The sequence below is a fragment of the Homo sapiens genome, chromosome 10 (genome assembly GCF_000001405.40).
Source record: "Homo sapiens chromosome 10, GRCh38.p14 Primary Assembly".
NCBI classification, from domain to species: Eukaryota; Metazoa; Chordata; class Mammalia; order Primates; family Hominidae; genus Homo; species Homo sapiens.
Window position 1 is genome coordinate 123,984,878 of NC_000010.11, and position 20,308 is coordinate 124,005,185.

Below are 20,308 nucleotides of genomic sequence, written 5' to 3' on the forward strand. Positions count from 1 at the left end.
ACTAACTTATAATAGGGGCCTGAGCAGGATCTAGTTTGAGGAACTAAGAAGGGTAAGACATGGACTTAAAAACAGCCTGTATTAGGCTGTTCTCACATTGCTATAAAAAAAATACCTGAGACTGGGTAATTTATTAAGTAAAGAGATTTAATTGGCTCCCGGTTCTGCAGGCTGTACAAGAAGCACAGTACTGGAGTCTGCTTCTGGGAGGCCTCTGGAAGCTTACAATTATGGCAGAAGGTAAAGTGGAAACTTGCATGTCACATGGCAAAAGCAGTAGCAAGAGAGAGGAAGGGGGTAAGTGCTACACACTTAAACAATCAGATCTTGTGAGAACTCATGTACTCGCTATTATGAGAACAGCACCAAGGGGATGGTACTAAACCATTCTGGAGAAACATCTCCATGATCCAATCACCTCCCACCAGGCCCCACCTCCAACACTGAACATTACAATTCAACATGAGATTTGGGTGGGGACCCAGATCGAAACCGTATCAGAGCCCCGTCAGAGCAACATGAATTCTGCTAAAATTGAAGCAAGAACAAACACGAAATTTATGGTGAAGCTTGGATGGACAAATGATGAAATAATTGATGCTTTTCAAAAAGCTTATTAGAACAATGCCCCAGTGAGATCAGCAGTTTACACAAGGATAACTCAAAGGGATGGGAACATGCAGAAGTTTGGCCAACAGCAGCAGATCATCCACATCAATTTTCGAGGAAAAAATTAAGCTTCTTTGTGCCCTAACTGAAGAGGACTGACAATTCACAGAAGAAAAAATAGGCAAGACCATAGATATCTCAGTTGGTTCAGCATATACAATTCTGACTGTAAAATTATAACTGAACAAATGTTCCACTCAATAGGTGCCAAGCCCATTGTGCCCATGGCCCCCTGTGCAGTAACAGACCCATTACACTGGGACAGTAGGGGTTGCAGCAGAGAAAGGATTGATTGATTGCAGAGTGCTGAGCAAGGAAATGGGAGGAGACCCTCAAATTCCTCTGCCTAAGGAGTTCTAGGATTGGGTTTTTAAGGGGATTATGGAGGATGAGGGGCTGGAGAATTAGGGGTGTTGATTGGTTGGGCTAAGGGGGATGATATCATCAAGATGTGGAAACTCATGCTTTGGTGAGTTAGCTTCTTATGGGGTCCTTCAGACCAGCTGGCATCAGTGGGGTCCTTCAGACCAGCCAAGTCAATAATTCATCAGTATGCAGGACCTGAAAGTATATCTCAAAGGGAAAACTTAACATTTTATACTCGTTAAGTTGTTATCTACAGAGCAGTTAAGGAGAACTATAATCTTCTAACAGGGTCTACATCATTCCAGGACAATAGGCACCAAACAAACAACTGTGAGGAAGCAGGTCGGAGAACAGGCTGACTTCATGATTAATGCTGAACGTGCTGCAAGCTTGGTTTATTTTTATTTCTCCCTCTCCCTTCTTCCCTAATTTTCATTTTCTTTTATTTTGGGAGACAGCATCTCATTCTGTTGCCCAAGCTGGAGTGCAACGGTATCAACAGTTCACTGCAGCCTCGACCTCCTGAGCTCAAGCAATTCTCCTGCCTCAGCCTCCTGAGTAGCTGGGACCACAGGCATGCACCACTATACCTGGCTAATTGTTTCTACTTTTTATAGAGACAGGGTCTCACCATGCTGCCCAGGCTGGTCTCAAATCCTGGGCTCAAGCGATTCTCCCAAAGTGCTGGGATTATGGGCATAAGCCACTGTGCCCAGCCCTGATTAATTTTATAAACGAGATAAGGGCAGTTTTACCCAAGTTAACTTCAGAGAAGAGCAGAACTTTCAATGGAAATTTCAAACAGTAGAATCCATATCCTGAAGCAGTTCTTTAAAGAATTATAACAGAAAACGAAGCATGGCCTTACTAGCATGATCCTGAACACCAGGCACAATCAAAGCAATGGCTACAAAGGAGTCCTGTCAAAGCAAAACAGACTAGTCAAGGGCAAAGGTCATAGCAACATGTTTGGGGATGCTCAAGGCATTTGGTTTGTTGACTTTCTGGAGAACTAAAGAATGATAACATCTGCTTATTATGAGAGTGTTTTCAAAAAGTTAGCCAAAGCTTTAAGAGAAAATCTCCCAGGCAATCTTCACCAGAATCCTTCACCACAAGAATGTTCCTGCTCATTCCTCTTGTCAAACAAGGGCTTTTATGAGAGTTTCAATGAGAAATCATTAGGTATGCACCTTACAGTCCTGATGTGGCTTCTTCTGCCTTCTTTTTGTTTCTTAATCTTAAAAAAAAATGTATTTTTTATTTCATTTATTTATTTTTTGAGACAAGAGTCTTGCTCTGTCACTCAGGTTGGAGTGCAGTGGCGTGATCTCAGCTCACTGCAACCTCTGCCTCCTGGGTTCAAGCGATTCTCGTGCCTCAACCTCCCAAGTAGCTGGGATTACAGGTGTGCACCACCACACCCAGCTAATTTTTGTATTTTTGGTAGAGACGAGCTTTTGCCATGTTGGCCAGGCTAGTCCCCAACTCCTGATCTGCCCACCTTGGCCTCCCAAAGTGCTGGGATTACAGGCATGAGCCACTGCACCCGGCCTTAATCTTAAAAAATCTTTAAATGGCACCCATTTTCCTTTAGTTAATAATGTAAAAAAGACTACATTGACATAGTTAAATTCCCAGGACCCTCAGTTCTTCAGGAACGGACTAAATGGCTGGTATCATCCTGTATTAGTCCATTGTCAAACTGCTATTTATTAGAAAAGAGGTTTAATTGGCAGGCTGTACAGGAACCATGGCGGCATCTGCTTCTGGGAAGGCCTTGGGAAGTTTTACTCATGGCAGAAGGCAAAGTGAGAGTAGGTGTCTTACATGGCAAGAGCAGGAGGGATGGTGGGGGTGGGCAGGAGGTGCTACACACTTTTAAACAACCAGGTGTCACAAGAACTCACTATCATGAGGACAGCATCAAGGGGTAGTGCTAAAACATTCATGAGAAATGTGCCCCCGTAACCCAATCACCTCCCACCAGGCCCCACCCACCTCCAACACTAGGGATTACAGTTGAACATGAAATTTGGGTGGGGACACAGATCCAAACCATATCACATCTCTTAGAAAAATGTCTTGAAGTTGATGGAGCTTATGTTGAGAAATGAAATTTATGCTTTAAATTTTTATCTTTTAATTCCATTTTTTCCTAACTTTTTGAAGTCCCCTTGTATTGTTAACTATAGTCACCCTACTGTGCAATAGAATACTATAACTTATTTCTTCTATCTACCTGTAATTTTGTACCCATTGACCAATCTCTTCTCATCCCCTCCTTCCCCTAAGCTTCTCCACCCTCTGGTAACTTCTATTCTACTCTGCAGTTCTATGAGATCAGCTTTTTCAGATTCCACAAGTGAGCTAGATCATGTGGTATTTATACCTCTGAGCTTGGCTTATTTCACTTAACATAATGTCCTACAGGTTCATCCATCTTGCAGAAAATAACAAGACTCGATTCTTTTTATGGCTGAATACAATTCCATTGTGTATGCGTACCTCATTTTCTTTATCCATTCATTCACTAATGGACACTTCGGTTGCTTCCATATCTTCACTATTATGAATGGTGTTGCAATAAACATGGAGGTGCAGGTGTCTCTTTGACATACTGGCTTCATTTCCTTTAGATATATACAGTATACCCAGCAGTGAGATTGCTGGATCATACGGTAGCTCTATTTTTAATTTTTTGAGGAACCTCCATACTGTTTTCCATAACAGCTGTGCTAGTTTACATTCCTCACCAGCAGTATATAAGGTGATATGGTTTGGCTCTGTGTCCCCAACCAAGTCTCATATTGAATTGTAATAATGCCCATGTTTCATGGGAGGGGCCCAGTGGGAGGTAATTGAATCTTGAGAGTGGGTTTTTCCCATGCTATTCTCATAACAGTGAATAAGTCTCGTGAGATCTGATGATTGTATAAAAGGGCAGTTCCCCTGCACAAGCCTTCATGCCTGCTGCCATGTAAGACATGTCTTGCTTCCCTTTTACCTTTCACTGTGATTGTGGGGCCCCTGCAGCCATGTGGAACTGTGAGTCAATTAAACCTCTTTCCTTCATAAATTACTCAGTCTCAGGTATGTCTTTATTAGCCACGTGAGAACAGACTATTACATAAGGGTTCCCATTTCTTCACATCTTTGCCAGTATTTCTTTTGTTTTTTGTCTTTTTGGTAATAACCATTCTACTTGGGGTGAGGTAATATCTCATTATGGTTTTTATTTGCATTTCCCTCATGATTAGTGATGTTGAGCATTTTTTTACACTCCTGTTGGCAATGTTTATGTATTCTTTAGATAAATATCTGTTCAGATCTTTTGCCCATTTTAAAATTCAATTATTTAGTTTTTTGCTAGTGAGTTGAGTTCTTTATATATTCTGGATATCAGCCGCTTGTCAGATGCATAGTTTGCAAATATTTTCTCCTATTCTATAGATTGTCTCTTCACTCTGTTGATTGTTTCCTTTGTTGTACAAATGCTTTTTAGTTTGCTATAATACCATTTGTCTATTTTTGCTTTTGTTGCCTATGCTTTTGAGCATAGGCAACAAAAAATCCTTGCCCAGGCCTATGTCCTAAAACATTTCCCCTATGTTTTCTTCTAGTAGTTTTACAGTTTCAGGTCTTACATTTAACTCTTCAATCCATTTTGAGTTGATTTTTTTTAATATGGTGAAAGAAAGTGGTAGAGTTTTATTCTTCTGAATGTCAATATCTAGTTTTCTCAGCACCATTTACTAAAGAGGCTGTCCTGTCTCCCAGTGTGTGTTCTTGACACCTTTGTCAAAAAAAATCAGTTGGCTATAACTGCTTGCATTTATTTCTGGGTTCTCCATTCTCTCACATTAGTCTATATGTCTTGTTTTTATGCTAATATCATGTTGTTTTGGTTACTATAGCTTTGTAGTGTATCTTGAAGTTAGGTAGTTTAATGCCTCCAGCTCTGTTCTTTTTGCTTAAGATTGCTTTGGTTATTTGGGTTTTTTTATGGTTTGGTACATATTTTAGGATTGTTTTTTCTATTTTTGTGAAGAATGTTAATTTTTTTGATCGGGATTGCATTGAAATTCTAGATCACTTTGTGCAGTATGAACATTTTAACAATATTAATTCTTCTAACCCATGAACATAAAATACCTTTCCATTTATTTGTGTCCTCTTCAGTTCGTTTCATTGATATTTTATATTTTCATTGTAGAAATCTTTCACCACTTTGATTCAATGTATTCTTGGTTTGTTGTTGTAGTTGTTGTTTTTGAGACACAGTCTCACTCTATTGCCCAGGCTGGAGGGGAGAGGCACTATCTCGCCTCGCTGCAACCTCTGCCTCCCGCATTCAAGCAAGTCTCCTGCCTCAGCCCCCCAAGTAGCTGGGATTACAGGTGTGCACCACCATGCCTAGCTAGTTTTTGTATTTTTAGTAGATACAAAACGGGTTTCACCATGTGGCCAGGCTGATCTTAAACTCCTGACCTCAGGCAATCCTCCTGCCTCAGCCTCCCAAAGTGCTGGGATTATAAGCGTGAGCCACCACACCCAGCCCAGGGATTGCTTTCTCGATTTCTTTTTCAGATAGTTTGCTATTGGTGTATGGAAACAGTACTAATTTCTGTATGTTGATTTTGTACCATGCAACTTTAATGAACTTATGAATTCTAACGGTTTTTTTGGTGAAGACTTTAGAAGATCACGTCATCAGCAGACAGAGAAAATTTGACTTCTTTCTTTCCAATTTGGATGCTCTCTATTTCTTTCTCTTACCTAATTGCTGTGGCAGGGACTTCCAGTACTATGTTGAATACAAGTGGTGAAAGTGGGCATCCTTGTCTTATTCCAGATTTTAGAGGAAAAGCTTTCAGCTTTTTTTTATTCAATATGATATTAGCTGTGGGTTTGTCATATATGTCCTTTATTGTGTTGAGATATGTTCCTTTTCACACCTAATTTGTTGGTGATTTTCATCATGAAGGGATGTTACCTTTAGTCAAATCCTTTTGTTGACGTTGATTGAGACGATCATATGGTTTTTCTCCTTGCAGAGTCTCATAGGAGTCCTCAGTGAAATGCAAGACAGCGCAGGTTCCTGACAGCATCTCTCCATCCAGGCCAAGGCAGACTGGCCGTCTCACAGCTGGATGGGGACACAGATCGAGTTCTGGCAACTGAAATGTGAGTGGACTTAAATGGGTCGCTTCTCAGCTAAGGCAATGGTAGTTCCCTCTTCTGGTGCATGGGCTGAGAGGGCCCCGTGTTCCAAGAGGCATAGCCACTGGTTGGTGAGGGGCTGTGATACGTGAACAAGCATGGGCTTGAGGGACTGGGGAAAGGGAGCGATTAAGAAGTGCAGGCCGGGCATGATGGCTCATGCCTGTAATCTCAGCACTTCGGGAGGCCAAGACGGGAGGATCACTTGAGGTCAGGAGTTTGAGACCAGCCTGACCAACATGGTGAAACCTCGTCCTACTAAAAATACAAAAATTAGCCGGGCGTTGTGGCACACGCCTGTAATCCCAGCTACTTGGGAGGCTGAGGCAGGAGAATCACTTGACTCCGAGAGGTGGAGGTTGCAGTGTGCCGAGATCAGCCATTTCACTCCAGCCTGGGCGACAGAGCGAGACTCCATCTCAAAAAAAAAAAAAAAAAAAAAAAAAAAAGAAGTGCAGCAATTAAGAATGAAGACATTGGGCGTCCGGGCGAGGCTCGGGGCGCGAGGATCGCGCAGCGCAGCGGGTTCGCCAGCCGGGGGGAGGGGCCGGGGCGGTGGCGGCGGCGGCGGAGGAGGCGGTGGCGGCGGGGGCCGGTACTGGACCCGGCGGGATGAGCGAGGTGGAGGCGGCAGCGGTGGCGACAGCGGTCCCCGCGGCGACGGTGCCCGCGACGGTGGCAGGGGTGGTAGCGGTGGTGGTACCGGTGCCCGCAGGGGAGCCGCAGAAAGCAGGCGGCGGGGCGGGCGGCTGCGGCGGGGACGCAGCCGCCTTGGACCCCGCTGCTGGGACCCCCTCGGCGCCGGGCCCCCGCACCCCTGGCAACCCGGCGACGGCGGCCTCGGGAACCCCCGCCCGGAGTCAGGCGGACAAGCCGGTGCTGGCAACCCGAGTCCTGCCTGGGCACTGCCAAACGGTTCAACGTCCGGAGTGGTTACGGATTCACCAACAGGAATGACGCCAAGGAAGATGTCTTCGTTCACTGGACAGCTGTTAAAAGAAACAACCCCAGGAAGTTTCTGCGCAGCGTTAGAGATGGGGAGACTGTGGAATTTGATGTCGTGGAAGGAGAGAAGGGCGCAGAAGCCACTAATGTAACTGGGCCCAGGGCGGCGGGGGTGCCCATGAAGGGCACCGTTATGCCCCCAACCGACGTAGGTTCCGCTGATTCATCCCCGGCCTCCCTCAGTTGCCCCACCACCCATGGTGGCAGAGATCCCCTCTCGGGGGACAGAACCTGGCGGCGAAGGGGAGCGGGCCGAAGACTCTGGGCAGCGGCCCAGACGATGGCGCCCCCCACCCTTCTACCTACGGCGGTTTGTGCGAGGCCCCCGGCCCCCCAACCAGCAGCAGCCTATAGAGGGCACTGATGGGGTAGAACCAAACAGACAGCCCCATTGGAGGGGCACCAACAGCAGGGAGATGAGTGGGTCCCCCCGCCCAGATTCCGGCCCAGGTACCTAAGGCCTTTACGCCCCAGGCCACCCCAGCAGCCTACCATGGAAGGTGGGGACAGTGATACCAAGCCCAGCCAAGGAAATTATTTTTTAAAAAAATTAAAAATAATAAATAATAAAAAAGAATGAAGACATTTATGCAGCCAACAAACATATGAAAAAAAGCTCATTATCACTGATCATTAGAGAAATGCAAATCAAAACCACAATGAGATACCATCTCATGCCAGTTAGAATGGCGATCATTAAAAAGTAAGGAAATAACAGATGCTGGCGAGGCTGTGGAGAAATAGGAACGCTTTTACACTGTTGGTGATAGTGTAAATTAGTTCAACCATTGTGGAAGATAGTGTGGTGATTCCTCAAGGATCTAGAACCAGAAATACCATTTGACCCAGCAATCCTATTACTGGGTATATACCCAAAGGATTATAAATCATTCTACTATAAAGACGTATGCACACATATGTTTACTGCAGCACTATTCACAATAGCAAAGACTTGGAACCAACCCAAATGCCCATCAATGATAGACTGGATAAAGAAAATGTGGCACATATACACCACAGAATTCTATGCGGCCGTAAAAAAGGATGAGTTCATGTCCTTTGCAGGGACATGGATGAAGCTGGAAGCCACCATTCTCAGCAAACTAACACAGGAACAGAAAACCAAACACAGCATGTTCTCACTCATAAGTGGGAGTTGAACAATGAGAACACATGGACACAGGGAGGGGAACATCACACACCGGGACCTGTTGGAGGGTGGGGTCTAGGGGAGGGACAGCATTAGTACAAATACCTAATGCATGCAGAGCTGAAAACCTAGATACCAGTTTGATAGGTGCAGCAAACCACCATGGCACATGTATACCTATGTGACAAACCTTCATGTTCTGCACATGTATCCCAGAACTTAAAGTAAAATTTAAAAAAAAAAAAAGTGCAGCCAAGCGTCACAGATTGGATCTTCTAAGTGTGTCTTTTAGGCAGAGCAGGGCATGTGGATTTATCTGCGTTATCTCGGCTTTTCATTGAGGCTGCGGACACTCCTAAGCCTGCACAGTAGCGGCTTATTATCCAGACCCTCTGTCCCTTGGAACCCCAACCCCAGCCCTAGCCCAGCCCAGTAAATCTCCTTCACTGCCGGAGGGGCGAGAGCAAATGGAGAGGAGGAGAGAGAAAGCAAGTAAAGGAGACGAGAGGGCAGAAAGGACTCAAAGGCAAAGTGGACAGGGGAGGGGAAGGTCAGGGCCAAGCAGGATGAGCACCTGGGTCCAAGATGGAAATCCCAGACCTCAGCGTGTTGAACTAAGGCTGGGAAGGTGCTCAGATAACACAGGGAGGCCCTGGGAATAGGGCCAGGGGTGTCGGAGCCCAGCGGCCCCTGGACCTGTTCCATCCTGTTCCATCTAGGAATAGAATGGTTCAGGGAACAGGGATAAGCAGAGCCTGCCTGCATAGGACTACGAGGACACAGACGCAAGGCTTAAGGAGAGAAGAGAGGCAGAGAGGAGACGGGAGAGGCCAGGGAAGACAGAATGCTGGGGAGAAGTGGAGAAGGCAGAGGCAGGCAATGGTGAAAAAGGATAGGACCCTGGTGTGTTTGCAGACAGGCCCCTGATCCTGCTCCAGGAACTCCCCATCACTATCACGCCCACTTCCAAGGCCTCCCTGGGGATAGTGGTGGCTCCTTCCGAGGCCCTCCTCAACCGTCCACAGTCCTAGGAGGGGGCTTGAGAACAAAGTACAGCTGGCTCAGGACAAGGTTTTGTAAGGGTTCAGAAGAGAGGGTTGGGAAGGGGCAACTGTCCCAGGGTGGAAGGACTAGGAGGGCAGAAGGGTGGGGAGGAGGTGTCTGCGCACCTACCACTTCCAGCGGAGCTGCTGGGCGGCGCTCCTGAGAAGGCCGTGGGAAAAGCCCACAGACGGAGGAGCAGCTGGGCGCACCTCTGGGGGCCGCCACATTCACTCCTTTCCCGCAACTGGGCTTCTTCAGAACTACGCTCTTGATTGGCTGAGCTGAGACCCAGTCTTTCACCCTCCAACGCCCTCATCCCGGGGTCCCCCTTGGTGTCAGGAGTTCCCTAGCCAGGTGAGAGGTGAGCCGCGAAGCCAGGGGAGTGTCCAGCCGGCAGCCTGTCTCCGGAAGGCCGGGAGGGAAAGGCTTCCTGGCTGCAGTGTCCACATCGGCCACCAGGGGGCAGCGCAGGGCTGCCTTTTAGCGCCTCCTGGTCTCCAGTGAGCTGGTCCGCAGAACCCCAGGGGCGTGGGGACGGGGCTGCCACTCCCGGACCCGCCCCCTTCCACACCCTTCCCGCAGCTCCTCTGCAAAACGCCTCAGGAATTCAATCAGCTTGGGGAAAGTGGCGAGTTTTCAAAAGGCAATAAAGAGGCAGATCTATAAGGGCCCCTTGAAATCCTCCGTATTCTCACCCCGTTCAGAGGCTGGGGAAACTGAGGCTCAGAGAGGTTAAATTGCTTGCTTAAGATCGTCCAGCTCTTTCTCTGGCCCCCCAGTTCGGTTCTCTCTCCAGACATCCACTGCCTCCGCATCAGGAACATCGCTCCACTGCTGCATATCTGGGGATAGGGATGGAGGAATCCGGGCAGCCATCATGGAGGAAGCAGCAGCACTTGAACTTGGCCTTGGGGTGGGGTAAGAGGCGGACTCAGTTGAACAATGTGGGGGTGGGCACTCCTGGTGGAGTCACCTCGTGGGCAAAGGCAGGAGGCAGAGGCCTGGGGTCCCGGGAGGCAAGTGGTTTCTTAGGAGAAGTAGGAAGATAGCGGGGATAGGAAGTGTACCCATATCCCGAGGTCCTTGCAGGCTGCCCAGGTCTCTGCCTTTAGAATTGCGGGGTGGCTCGGCCCAGGAATTTTCCTGAATTCCATTATGCTGAAAGCGCAGAGTATGGCAGGAGACCTCCTGATTATCTCATGTGGAGGTGGGAGTAAGCAAATAGTCTCCCCCGCCACTGGGGCACGAGCCAGCTGCCCCTCCGCGGCCGGGAGCCCAACCCTGGGGAAGAGAGCAGCCACGCCCCATTCCTCCACCGTGACTCGAACCTTCAGCTGCTGGAGCCCCTGGCCACCGGGGCCCCGTATTGACCTCAGAATTGGCCGCGTCTGGGGCGGCTCGAGGTTCCTGGGCTCTGAGCAAGCGTCAGCCTGTGAGGTGGAAGGGCCCAGGGCACAGCCGGTCCCATCTGCTCAACAGCGCCTGCGAAGAGCCCCATGGCCAGCAGCACACTCAGCTCGGCTCTGGCCTGCAGGGGGATGTGGGACAGGGAGGGGATGCAGTGAAGGCAGCGGTGGAGCCCAGGACGGAGTTTCTGTCCCTGGGAGTCTGGGCACACAGTGGGTCGCAGGGGAGGAGGAGGCCCTGCTGTCCTGGCATTGCTGTTGCTTCCACAACCTGAAGATGGCACCCAACCCTGACCTCAGCCCTCCCTACCTGCAGCAGCTCGGTCTGGCCTCCCAGCCCCAGACCATGTCTGAAGTCATTGAGTCCACACGGTTCCACCGCCTCCTTGGAAACCCTTTTCAGAGACTCAGAGTTGAGAAGCTGAAGCTGGGACTCGAGCTCTGGGGACCAGCAGACCTGAGATCAAGGACCAGCTCTTCTCCTTACTAGCTGAGGGGACTGAGCCCCAATTCTCCCACCTTTATAATGGCGGAACCAGAATAAAGATAAAACCTCCTCCTGGGGTTGCAGTGAGGATCTAATGAGACACGAGGAGACGCCCCAGCACAGGGCGTGGCACTCACCCTGTGTTCAATCATAGCTGGCCCTGTTATGACCGTTTTCATCCCCTTTACCATGGATGGCCTCTCATCTGGCCATTGCAGGTGACAGGTGTGTCCATGTCCCCTAGACATCCTGGGCGTGCTCAGCTCTCCTGGCTTTCAGCCGTTTGGCAAAACACCCTCCAGCTGATCTTGTATTTACCACAAGTCAATTGTGTTTGCCCCCGAGCCTTTTTCATGCCAGCTGTTCTTGATATTATGAAGGCACAGGTTAATTAAATATCATATAAGCTAGCAAGTTTTCAAACTAGTTGGGTTTGTTTGTTTGTTTTCAGAGGTGGGGTCTTGCTCTGTCCCCCAGGCTGGAGTGCAGTGGCATGATCACAGCTCACTGCTGCTTCAAATTTTGGTGCTTAAGTGATCCTCCCACCTCGGCCTCCCAAGTAGCTGGGACCACAGGTGTGTGCCACCACATTCTGCTAATTTTTATTTATTTATTTATTTATTTACTTACTTACTTACTTACCTACTTTGTAGAGACAGGGTCTCACCATCTTGCCCAGGCTGGTCTCAAACTCCTGGGGTCAAGGGATCCTCCTGCCTCGGCCTCCTAAAATGCTGGGATTAAAGGTGTGAGCCACCATGCCCAGCCTCAAACTGTTTAAAGATTCCTTTATACTCTTAAAAATCATTGAAGATCCCAAACAGCTTTTGTTTCAGTGGCTTGCATTGATTGATATTGACTATCTTCAAAATTAAAGATGAGAGACTTTCAAAGCACAGAGACACACAAGCACGCATTCCGTCGGCTGTCAGAGGCCAGGGCTGGGGGCTGGGGGCTCTGAAAATCTTTATTTGTACCTTCTGGAGAAAATGAGAGCATCAAGGGCAAACAACATCTCAGTTTGACCGTGAAAAGAATTTGGACTTTGGATTCCCTGAAAGGGTCGCAAGTGGTCCCTGGGCCACTCTCGGAGAGCCACTGAGGGAAGCTGATGAAATATTAATGCAGAAAGGGAGCTGCTCCCTGAATGCTAGGCTGGAAGCTTTGGAAAGTCCCAGCACAGATGAGGGTAATGATTTGGGGAAAATAATCACACAAATAATGAAGGACTCTGCCTCGAGATTGCCTTGCAAGCGCCTTCCAGTTCTCATGTCCCTTTAGAAACACTGAAACCAGAAATCAGTGCTGATTCACTGCTCTGTGGTTTCTGCCACAGAGATGACCCAGAGCTCCAATCAGTGGGCTCATGCTCAGAGAAAAGGTTTTGGCTCCATACCAAAAGGCAGACAAATAGATGTGCTGTACTTCACATATTTGAAGTAAAAATAAAATGTTTAAGAAATGTCTATGTGGTTAAGTAGGACTTCCCCACCCATCTAACTTGCCCAGCTAACGCTGCAATTACGGATGTTGCAAGAACGTTGACTCGACCCAGCCTTCCCCTGCTACGGTAAATGTCCCTCACCCCTCCACCCTCAGGCTGGACACCAGCTCCAAGTCTAATCCTTGTCTTTGACCATTTGGGGCTTGACTTTGCCTTTGACCTTGCCTCCATTGCCTGCCACATCCTTCAGTTAGTGACAAGCACAAGATGGGTCAGATTTGGTGGGTTCCAACACTGGGTCCAGTACTAAGTGTGTGACCTTGGAGCAGTCACCTAACCTCCCTGAGCCCCAGCTTCCTTTTCTGTAAAATGGGAAGTTACACATAAGCATACATATACCCCAGCTCTGTGGGTGCCGTCAGTAGTGATGTCACCATCCCATTGGTACAGTGCCTTTGAGATGGCCCTTCAGCCGTGCTTCCTACTCCCAGCCCCTGTGATCACTCACTTGGACCATAGAAGCCTCAGCCTTAGTCCTTCCATTTCCAGGCACTTCTACCTGCTCCAAATTAATGACCTAAATCCCTGCGCTAACCAATAATTCCTCTGCTCAGAAAATGTCAGTGTGGGAAGCTCAATACACCACTAGTTCAACCAAAGGCATTTACCCTGAGACCCAAACCCTCTTTGACCTTGTGCCCACTTACCTGGGTGGCTTCACCTCCTACTGCTACAACAATCGTGCCTGAGGACCATTGCTGAGGTGACCTGCCCCCACCTCCAGGGTCCAGATGCCATGTGGAGGGTATTACATGCGTGAACCCTTATCGCCATAAGGGCCTGAGTCTGAGTGCATACCCATTCTGCAGATAAGAAAACAGAGGCTCAGTAGCATCAAACCCTCTGCCTAAGGTCACACAGAGGACAATGGCAGAGCCAGGATTGTAGTCCAGGTCTCCCTGACTCCAAAGCCCAGAATGTTCGTATACTCCTTTCCGGAGGCACTGAGACCTTCCCTGCTCTTTTGGCCTTCCCTGCTCCCTGCCCCTGCTCACCCCAGCCCCTCCTCTCGGCATGCCTGCCCACCTTTCTAGATCCTGCCAGTCTTTAGGGCTCAGCTTAACGCCACCTCTTTCCTGATGCCATCTGGGTCACAGCCCCCATGCACCCTGCAGACCTCTCCTCTGCTGGAGGTTCTGACATTTGCACAAGGCCTGCATTCTTCTAGGCTCTCCCTGTTCCTTCCTTAGGAAAGTGAGCCTGGCCCTTACGGTGAGGTCCTCTTTCCCTGCTTCACACTCCAGAGCGGCAGGCCCCAACTTTTTGGCACCAGGGACCAGTTACATGGAAGACAGTTTTTCCACAGTTTGGTGGGGGGGATGGTTTGGGATGATTCAAGCTCATTACATGTATTGTGCACTTCATTTCTATTATTACTATACTGAAATACGTAATGAAATAATTCTACAACTCACCATCATGTAGAATCAGTGGGAGCCCTGAATTTGTTTTCCTGCAACTAGGTGGTCCCATCTGGGGGTGATGGGAGACAGCAACAGATCTTAGATTCTCGTAAGGAATGTGCCACCTAGATCCCTCACATGCACAGTTCACAATAGGGTTGGAGCTGCTATGAGAATCCAACGTTACCACTAGGAGGTGGAGCTCAGGTGGTAATGTGAGCGATGGGGAGCAGCTGTAAATAGAGATGAAGCTTTGCTTCTCACCTCCCGCTGTGTAGCCCAGGACTGCTACTGGCCCATGCCCGAGGGGTGGGGGATTGCCTGCTCTACAGCATCATCACACATGCCTTTGCCCCATCTAAGTTTGTTGAGTGAGTATTATGTGCAGTCACTGATTCAGGCTCTGAGGCTGCAGCCATGAACAGAGTTCCCACCTCAAGGAGCGGAGGTCCCTGATGGGCAGAGGGCTGCTGAAGCAGCAGCAGACACACAGATGGTCCAGTCTCAGGTGACAGCTGTGAGCAAATCAAGCAGGGAGGCTGGCCATGCAGGAGAGGTATTATTTTGTGTAAGTGGTCAGGGAAGGGACCGTAGTGAGGCGAAGGCACTGGCCTGGCCAGGGTCAGGGAAGGGACCGTAGTGAGGCGAAGGTGCCGGCCTGGCCAGGGTCAGGGAAGGGACCGTAGTGAGGCGAAGGTGCCAGCCTGGCCAGGGTCAGGGAAGGGACCGTAGTGAGGCGAAGGTGCCAGCCTGGCCAGGGTCAGGGAAGGGACCGTAGTGAGGCGAAGGCACTGGCCTGGCCAGGGTCAGGGAAGGGACCGTAGTGAGGCGAAGGTGCCGGCCTGGCCAGGGTCAGGGAAGGGACCGTAGTGAGGCAAAGGTGCTGGTCTGGCCAGGGCCAGCGAAGGGACCGTAGTGAGGCGAAGGTGCCAGCCTGGCCAGGGTCAGGGAAGGGTGTGCCAGGCAGGGCACCCCAGGGTCACAGGCCAGTACAGGGAAGGGCTTGGTGTGCTGAGCATGGCGGTGAGGTCAGCATAGCCAGGGCTGAGGTGAGTGCGGGCAGCTGAGGTCTCAGAGGTCAGCAGGGCAGGGTAGAACCCAGGGAGGGCCTCGAGGGCCATGAGCAGGTCTTGGCCTTTTATCCTAGGTGTGTTGGGGGGTTGGGGAGGGTTTCAAGGAAGAGAGTGACATGGTTTGAAGGACTGCAGGGGAAAAGTGACAGTGGAGGTGCCAGGAGGGCCTTGGCCCCGGCTCTCACCACCATGCGGGAGTGGTGCGGGGGTGGGGGGTGTTGAAGCATAGGTTTCACTGTTATTCGGGTAAAGTGAGACCAACAGCTCAGAAGATTGTCTTTAGCCGGGCTCAGTGGCTCATGCCTATAATCCCAGCACTTTGAGGAACTGAGGTGGGTGGATTGCTTGAGCCCAGGAGTTCAAGACCATCCTAGGCAACATAGCGAAACCCTGTCTCTACAAAAAAATACACAAAGTTAGCTGGGCATGATAGCAGGTGCCTTTAGTCCCAGCTACTCAGGAGGCTAAGGTGGGAGGATCACCTGAGCCCTGGAGGTTGAGGCTGCAGTGAGCCGAGATGGTACCACTGCACTCCAGCCTGGGCATCGGAGTGAAACCCTGTCTCAAAAAAAAAAAAAAAAAAAAAGATTGCCTTTGGCACAATGGTTTGTTACTCACAGTTCCCAAGAGGAAGAGACACACCGGGCTATGTGGGGCCACTGGGAAGCACCGAGGGGAGGAGGCAGAGAGAGCCCTGGGGAAATGGTGAGCCAGAGCCTTTGCTGTGGTTTTCACAGGAAGAAATGGACAAACAGCAACTGGGCTATGCAGGGCTAGAGCTGAGTTTGAATAATTTTATGGGGCTCAGAGTGTCTGGGCTTCCAAGTTTCTGGCCCCTGGCCCGCGGGGCGACTGGGGAGCTGCATTGCCCACTGCAAGTGCTCAGGAAGGGAGATGGTCGGGGTGGGCTGGGATTGGCCGTTTTGCACACAAAAGGTGTGCTCCAAGTGCCTCTATATCTAGGGGTTAGCTAGTCCCGAGAGGGCAGTCCTTCCCAGGCCAGCAAGATGTCAAAGGATCATAAAATACAGAAAATAGTCAACCAAACTAATACAAGAGTGGTCAAGATGAGGGGGCAGAGCCGGGAGAATGGTGGATCCTATGAGGCAGGATCCACCATTGGTCTCCTTACTATGACCAAGTGAGATCACCTTACTATGGTCCCTTCCCTGGCCCTGGCCAGACCAGCACCTTTGCCTCACTATGGTCCCTTCACTGGCCCTGGCCAGACCAGCACCTTTGCCTCACTATGGTCCCTTCCCTGACCCTGGCCGGGCCGGTGCCTTTGCCTCACTATGGTCCCTTCCCTGATCACTTACACAAAATAATAAGACAGGACGGTGAGAGAGTGGCTTGGGAAGGGGCGGGGTGGCTGTTTGGTCAGGGTGGTCAGGTTGACTGGGAAGTGGCTGTCAGCCTGAAGGAGGAAGCTGGGGGCAGAGCCTTCCCGCAGAAGAGATGGCAGGAGCAGGACGGCCGGCAAGATGGGTTCCAGGGTGGGTGTGGGCGAGCAGCGCCCGGGTAGAGCTCAGTGACATGGCCTGCATGGGCTGGTCACTGCGACTGAAGATGGAACCCTGCTGGGGAGGCGGCTTAGGTGGAGAGACAGACCCAAGAGCTCTGAGTCATTAATGCTGGGGGCGCCACCTGTCACGCAGTGGGTGCACCAGCCTGCGCTCAGGGCTGAGGTCTAGGAGTCATCGGCATAGAGATGGCGTCTGAGGCCACGGACTGGATAAGAACAGTTATGGGAGAGGGCTAAGGACTGAGCCGCTGGGCACCCCGACATTCATGGCCAGAAAGAAGAGCAGGTGCAGCCATGGAGGCAGGATGAGGACCAGCGAGGAGTCCGTTGTTCTGGAGACCAAGTGAGAGTTTCAGGAGGAGCTGCCAACAAAGTCAACAGGGCCAGGAGATTGGATTAGGAATGGCATCTCCAGACGAGCATCTGCAGAGGGTCTGACAGGGTGCACTCAACTTGACCCTCAATGAAGCAGCATGTTACCCACTCCCAAAAGAACCCCTTGCTTCTCGTAAGCAGAGCTGTATTACCAAAAAATTGTACTCAACTATTGTATTTTGAATTCCATCTCTAAATATTTGTGGAACCTCTTTTCTCTGTGTTACATTAGTACCTAATATCCCTGTTTTTCCTCTTGGGCCCACAAAGTCTAATATTATTTACCATCTGGCCCTTTATGGAAACACTTCAGTCATCTTGAGCCAGAGCATGAAAGTGGAGGAGGCATTTTGAGAATGGATGAGGGGCCATGGGACACATAGGACCCAATGCAAGGTACAGTGGCTTCCTGAGGATCAGGGCATGGCAGCCTTGGGGGTGACCTCGTAGGTAGAGGCGCTGGTAGGCCTGAAACATTCTGGGAGTGGTCTTCGTGTGGCCTGGGGAAAGCTGGGGGTTCAGTTCCAGCCCAGCCTCCTCTTGGGGCTTGGTCTCTGAGGCAGATGGGGAGGTCATAGAGTGGAGTAGCTGGGGAGGAATGAGGGTATCTCACCAGAAATATGTCACTGTCCCCAGTATCGCCCCTCATGCCTGTTGCAGTTCTGAAATGCTTCAGGCAATGCTGTGATCAATGTCTTGTCTGTTTCTGATCAAAATCTGTCTGCTGCACTGCATGCAGGCAGGGACCAGCTCTGCTCTCCCAGGTGCCTCTAATACCAAGGACATGGCTGGCGATCCCTCAATATTTGTTGGAAGAACCAGTGAAGGAATCAATGAATGAGCAAATGAACAATGTCCCACCCTCACCACAATGCCTGGCCCAATGACTCGTGCATAGTAGATGTTCAGAAAATATTTGCTGAGAAAATTAAATTTTGGCTTTTTTACACTTTCTAGCTCAGGTGTATACGTTTGGTGCCTTTGAGGCCCTGGGCAAGGCCGAGCCCTGGGGTGGAGCAATGTGCTTCTGATGTGACTCAGGGCTCAGGGGACTCCTCACCGCAGCTAGCCCATCACAGCTAGCCCCTGAAGTCTGCCTTCAGGGAGGCGCAGACAACTCACGCCAGCCAGCCCAGGGCAGGGGCAATATCCGTGCCAGCAAGTCTCGGCTGAGAGAGCCTTTTGGCAGAAAAAGCCATGTTTATTTCCCTTGTTTCCCCCTAGAAATCCCAGTCATCACCTAGACCCCTGATGGGTTGAGCTGCAGAAAACCCTGGCCCAGGTGACCCCAAAAACCACTGGCCTTCCCTGAGGGAACTTGAAAGGGGGGCATTTGAAATGGAGGGGAAGGAGAACTAACCCTTGAAATGTAGACAGGCTACTGAGGATGGAAGCCTGGGGCTGGTGCTGAGGGTATATAATGCAGCACTATGGTTAAAAGCACTGACTCGGAATGTCTGAGCTGCATTCTGCTCTCTTTCTGGGGATCTGAGCTGTGTGACCTCAGGCACGCATGCAGCCTCTCTGATCCTCAGTCTATATTTGTAAACTCTGAGACCCACTCATGAGCAAGACAGACCTGTGGGTGCAGAAAGGGCCTGTGGTGTACCCAAGGTTAAGAGATGGCTCTCCCAGGCTCTCTGCTGCGGAACTGGGCTTTGAATCCAGCTCACCTGGCTCCACTCAGGGCTCACCCTCTTCCCACACTGTCCTTGTCGGTGGCAGAGTTTGGTAGATGTAAATCATAGTCCCTTATGGTGGGAAAACAGTCGAAGGGGGATGGCTCATGACCTGGGGGAGATGGGCCAGGGTGCAGGGAGAGGCAGCTGGGATTTCCCCACCCTGATTCCCTGGCCCCCACCTTTCTCTGCCGTACCAGGAAGAGAATTCCTCAGGGGGCGTTGGGCCTCCGACCCTGGGCAAGTCACAAGGCTCAGGGAGGCCGAGGTTTCAGCCTCAGCTGAGACTTGCCCGCTTCTAGATCTGACCAGGACCTGACTTTAAAGGGGCCTTTCAAAGCATGCAGAGCTGAGGGTACACCCCAGAAAGCCCCCAGGATCCCCACTGGCCCTCAGGCCTGCCAAGGACCCTGCATGAACCCGGCCTCCTCATGCTGCTGGCAGCTCTCCACTGTGGGAGAGGAGGCCTTTCACAGTCTCTGTGTCCCAGACACAGTGCCCAGCACCTATAGGGCAGTCAGCAGAGGCTGCCCAGGAGGGAGTAGACCAAGTCTCCTCCTTGCTTTGCCACAGGTTCAACAAGGAAGAACCCAGGTGCAAGCCTGAGCTGGGTCCTGGGTGCCCCATGGTAGGAGGACGCAGCCACTTGCAGGTGGCAATTTAGAGAGCCCTGTTGCTCCTCCCCAGAGTCTCTCGCAGGCCTGCTGCATTGCCTGAGAATCCCCACCTTCTGCCTTCGTACTCAGCCCTTACAGTCCAAGGTCAGCAACCTGTGCAGCCTGAGGCTCCCAGGATGGCCCACAGTGCTCAGCCTCCTGCCCTGGACCCGAGTAGGAGCAGGTTTGTAGAGGATACTGGGGATGAGCCAGGGGGCTGGGGACAGGGTTGGTGAGGACAGAGATGGTGGGGGTGAGTCCAGCCTGTAGCCATCAGTGAGACCAGACACCAGCCTTCCAAAGCCCAAAGCCACGAGGCTGGGGGCCACGGAGGTCACCAACCCCTGAATAGGGACTGGAAAATGTTCTATTTCTCCAACTTTCATAAGCTGCTGCCTTTGAAGTCAACAACAGCTGAACTTCAAAGCAACTCAAAACTACCTAGGTGGCTGATGTGTGTAGTTTACACACATCCTGGAAAACTCACAAAGTAACTTCACAAGAATTTTTTAAAAAGTAAAAAGGTAAATAACTAGTAAGCACTCAAAAATTACTTCTACCAAGAGCTGGAGAAATTGTCCTGTCTCCATTGTGGGGGACAAGGCTGACTCTTGGAAACCAGGTGACCTTCCACGGGAAAAACACTGTGATGTGAATTGAGGAGGAGGTGGGTCTGTGGCCTGACCCCTCGTGTCACCCTGTCCCACCTACTCCACTACCCCAGTCACAGGGCCTTGCCTGGA

At 50.4% G+C, this 20,308-nt stretch overlaps 1 pseudogene, besides 4 other annotated features; it reads left to right on the top strand.

Moving 5' to 3' along the window:
* Window positions 6,738-7,794, top strand: YBX2P1 (YBX2 pseudogene 1; annotated as a pseudogene).
* Window positions 9,728-10,290: an enhancer, noted in NCBI's record as "H3K4me1 hESC enhancer chr10:125754121-125754683 (GRCh37/hg19 assembly coordinates)". NCBI's record gives its function as "activates a minimal SCP1, AML or CMV promoter by ChIP-STARR-seq in naive H9 embryonic stem cells {active_cell/tissue: H9 hESC(naive)}" and the evidence as "EXISTENCE:reporter gene assay evidence [ECO:0000049][PMID:30033119]".
* Window positions 10,291-10,853: an enhancer, noted in NCBI's record as "H3K27ac-H3K4me1 hESC enhancer chr10:125754684-125755246 (GRCh37/hg19 assembly coordinates)". NCBI's record gives its function as "activates a minimal SCP1, AML or CMV promoter by ChIP-STARR-seq in naive H9 embryonic stem cells {active_cell/tissue: H9 hESC(naive)}" and the evidence as "EXISTENCE:reporter gene assay evidence [ECO:0000049][PMID:30033119]".
* Window positions 18,896-19,463: an enhancer, noted in NCBI's record as "H3K27ac-H3K4me1 hESC enhancer chr10:125763289-125763856 (GRCh37/hg19 assembly coordinates)". NCBI's record gives its function as "activates a minimal SCP1, AML or CMV promoter by ChIP-STARR-seq in primed H9 embryonic stem cells {active_cell/tissue: H9 hESC(primed)}" and the evidence as "EXISTENCE:reporter gene assay evidence [ECO:0000049][PMID:30033119]".
* Window positions 19,464-20,029: an enhancer, noted in NCBI's record as "H3K27ac-H3K4me1 hESC enhancer chr10:125763857-125764422 (GRCh37/hg19 assembly coordinates)". NCBI's record gives its function as "activates a minimal SCP1, AML or CMV promoter by ChIP-STARR-seq in primed H9 embryonic stem cells {active_cell/tissue: H9 hESC(primed)}" and the evidence as "EXISTENCE:reporter gene assay evidence [ECO:0000049][PMID:30033119]".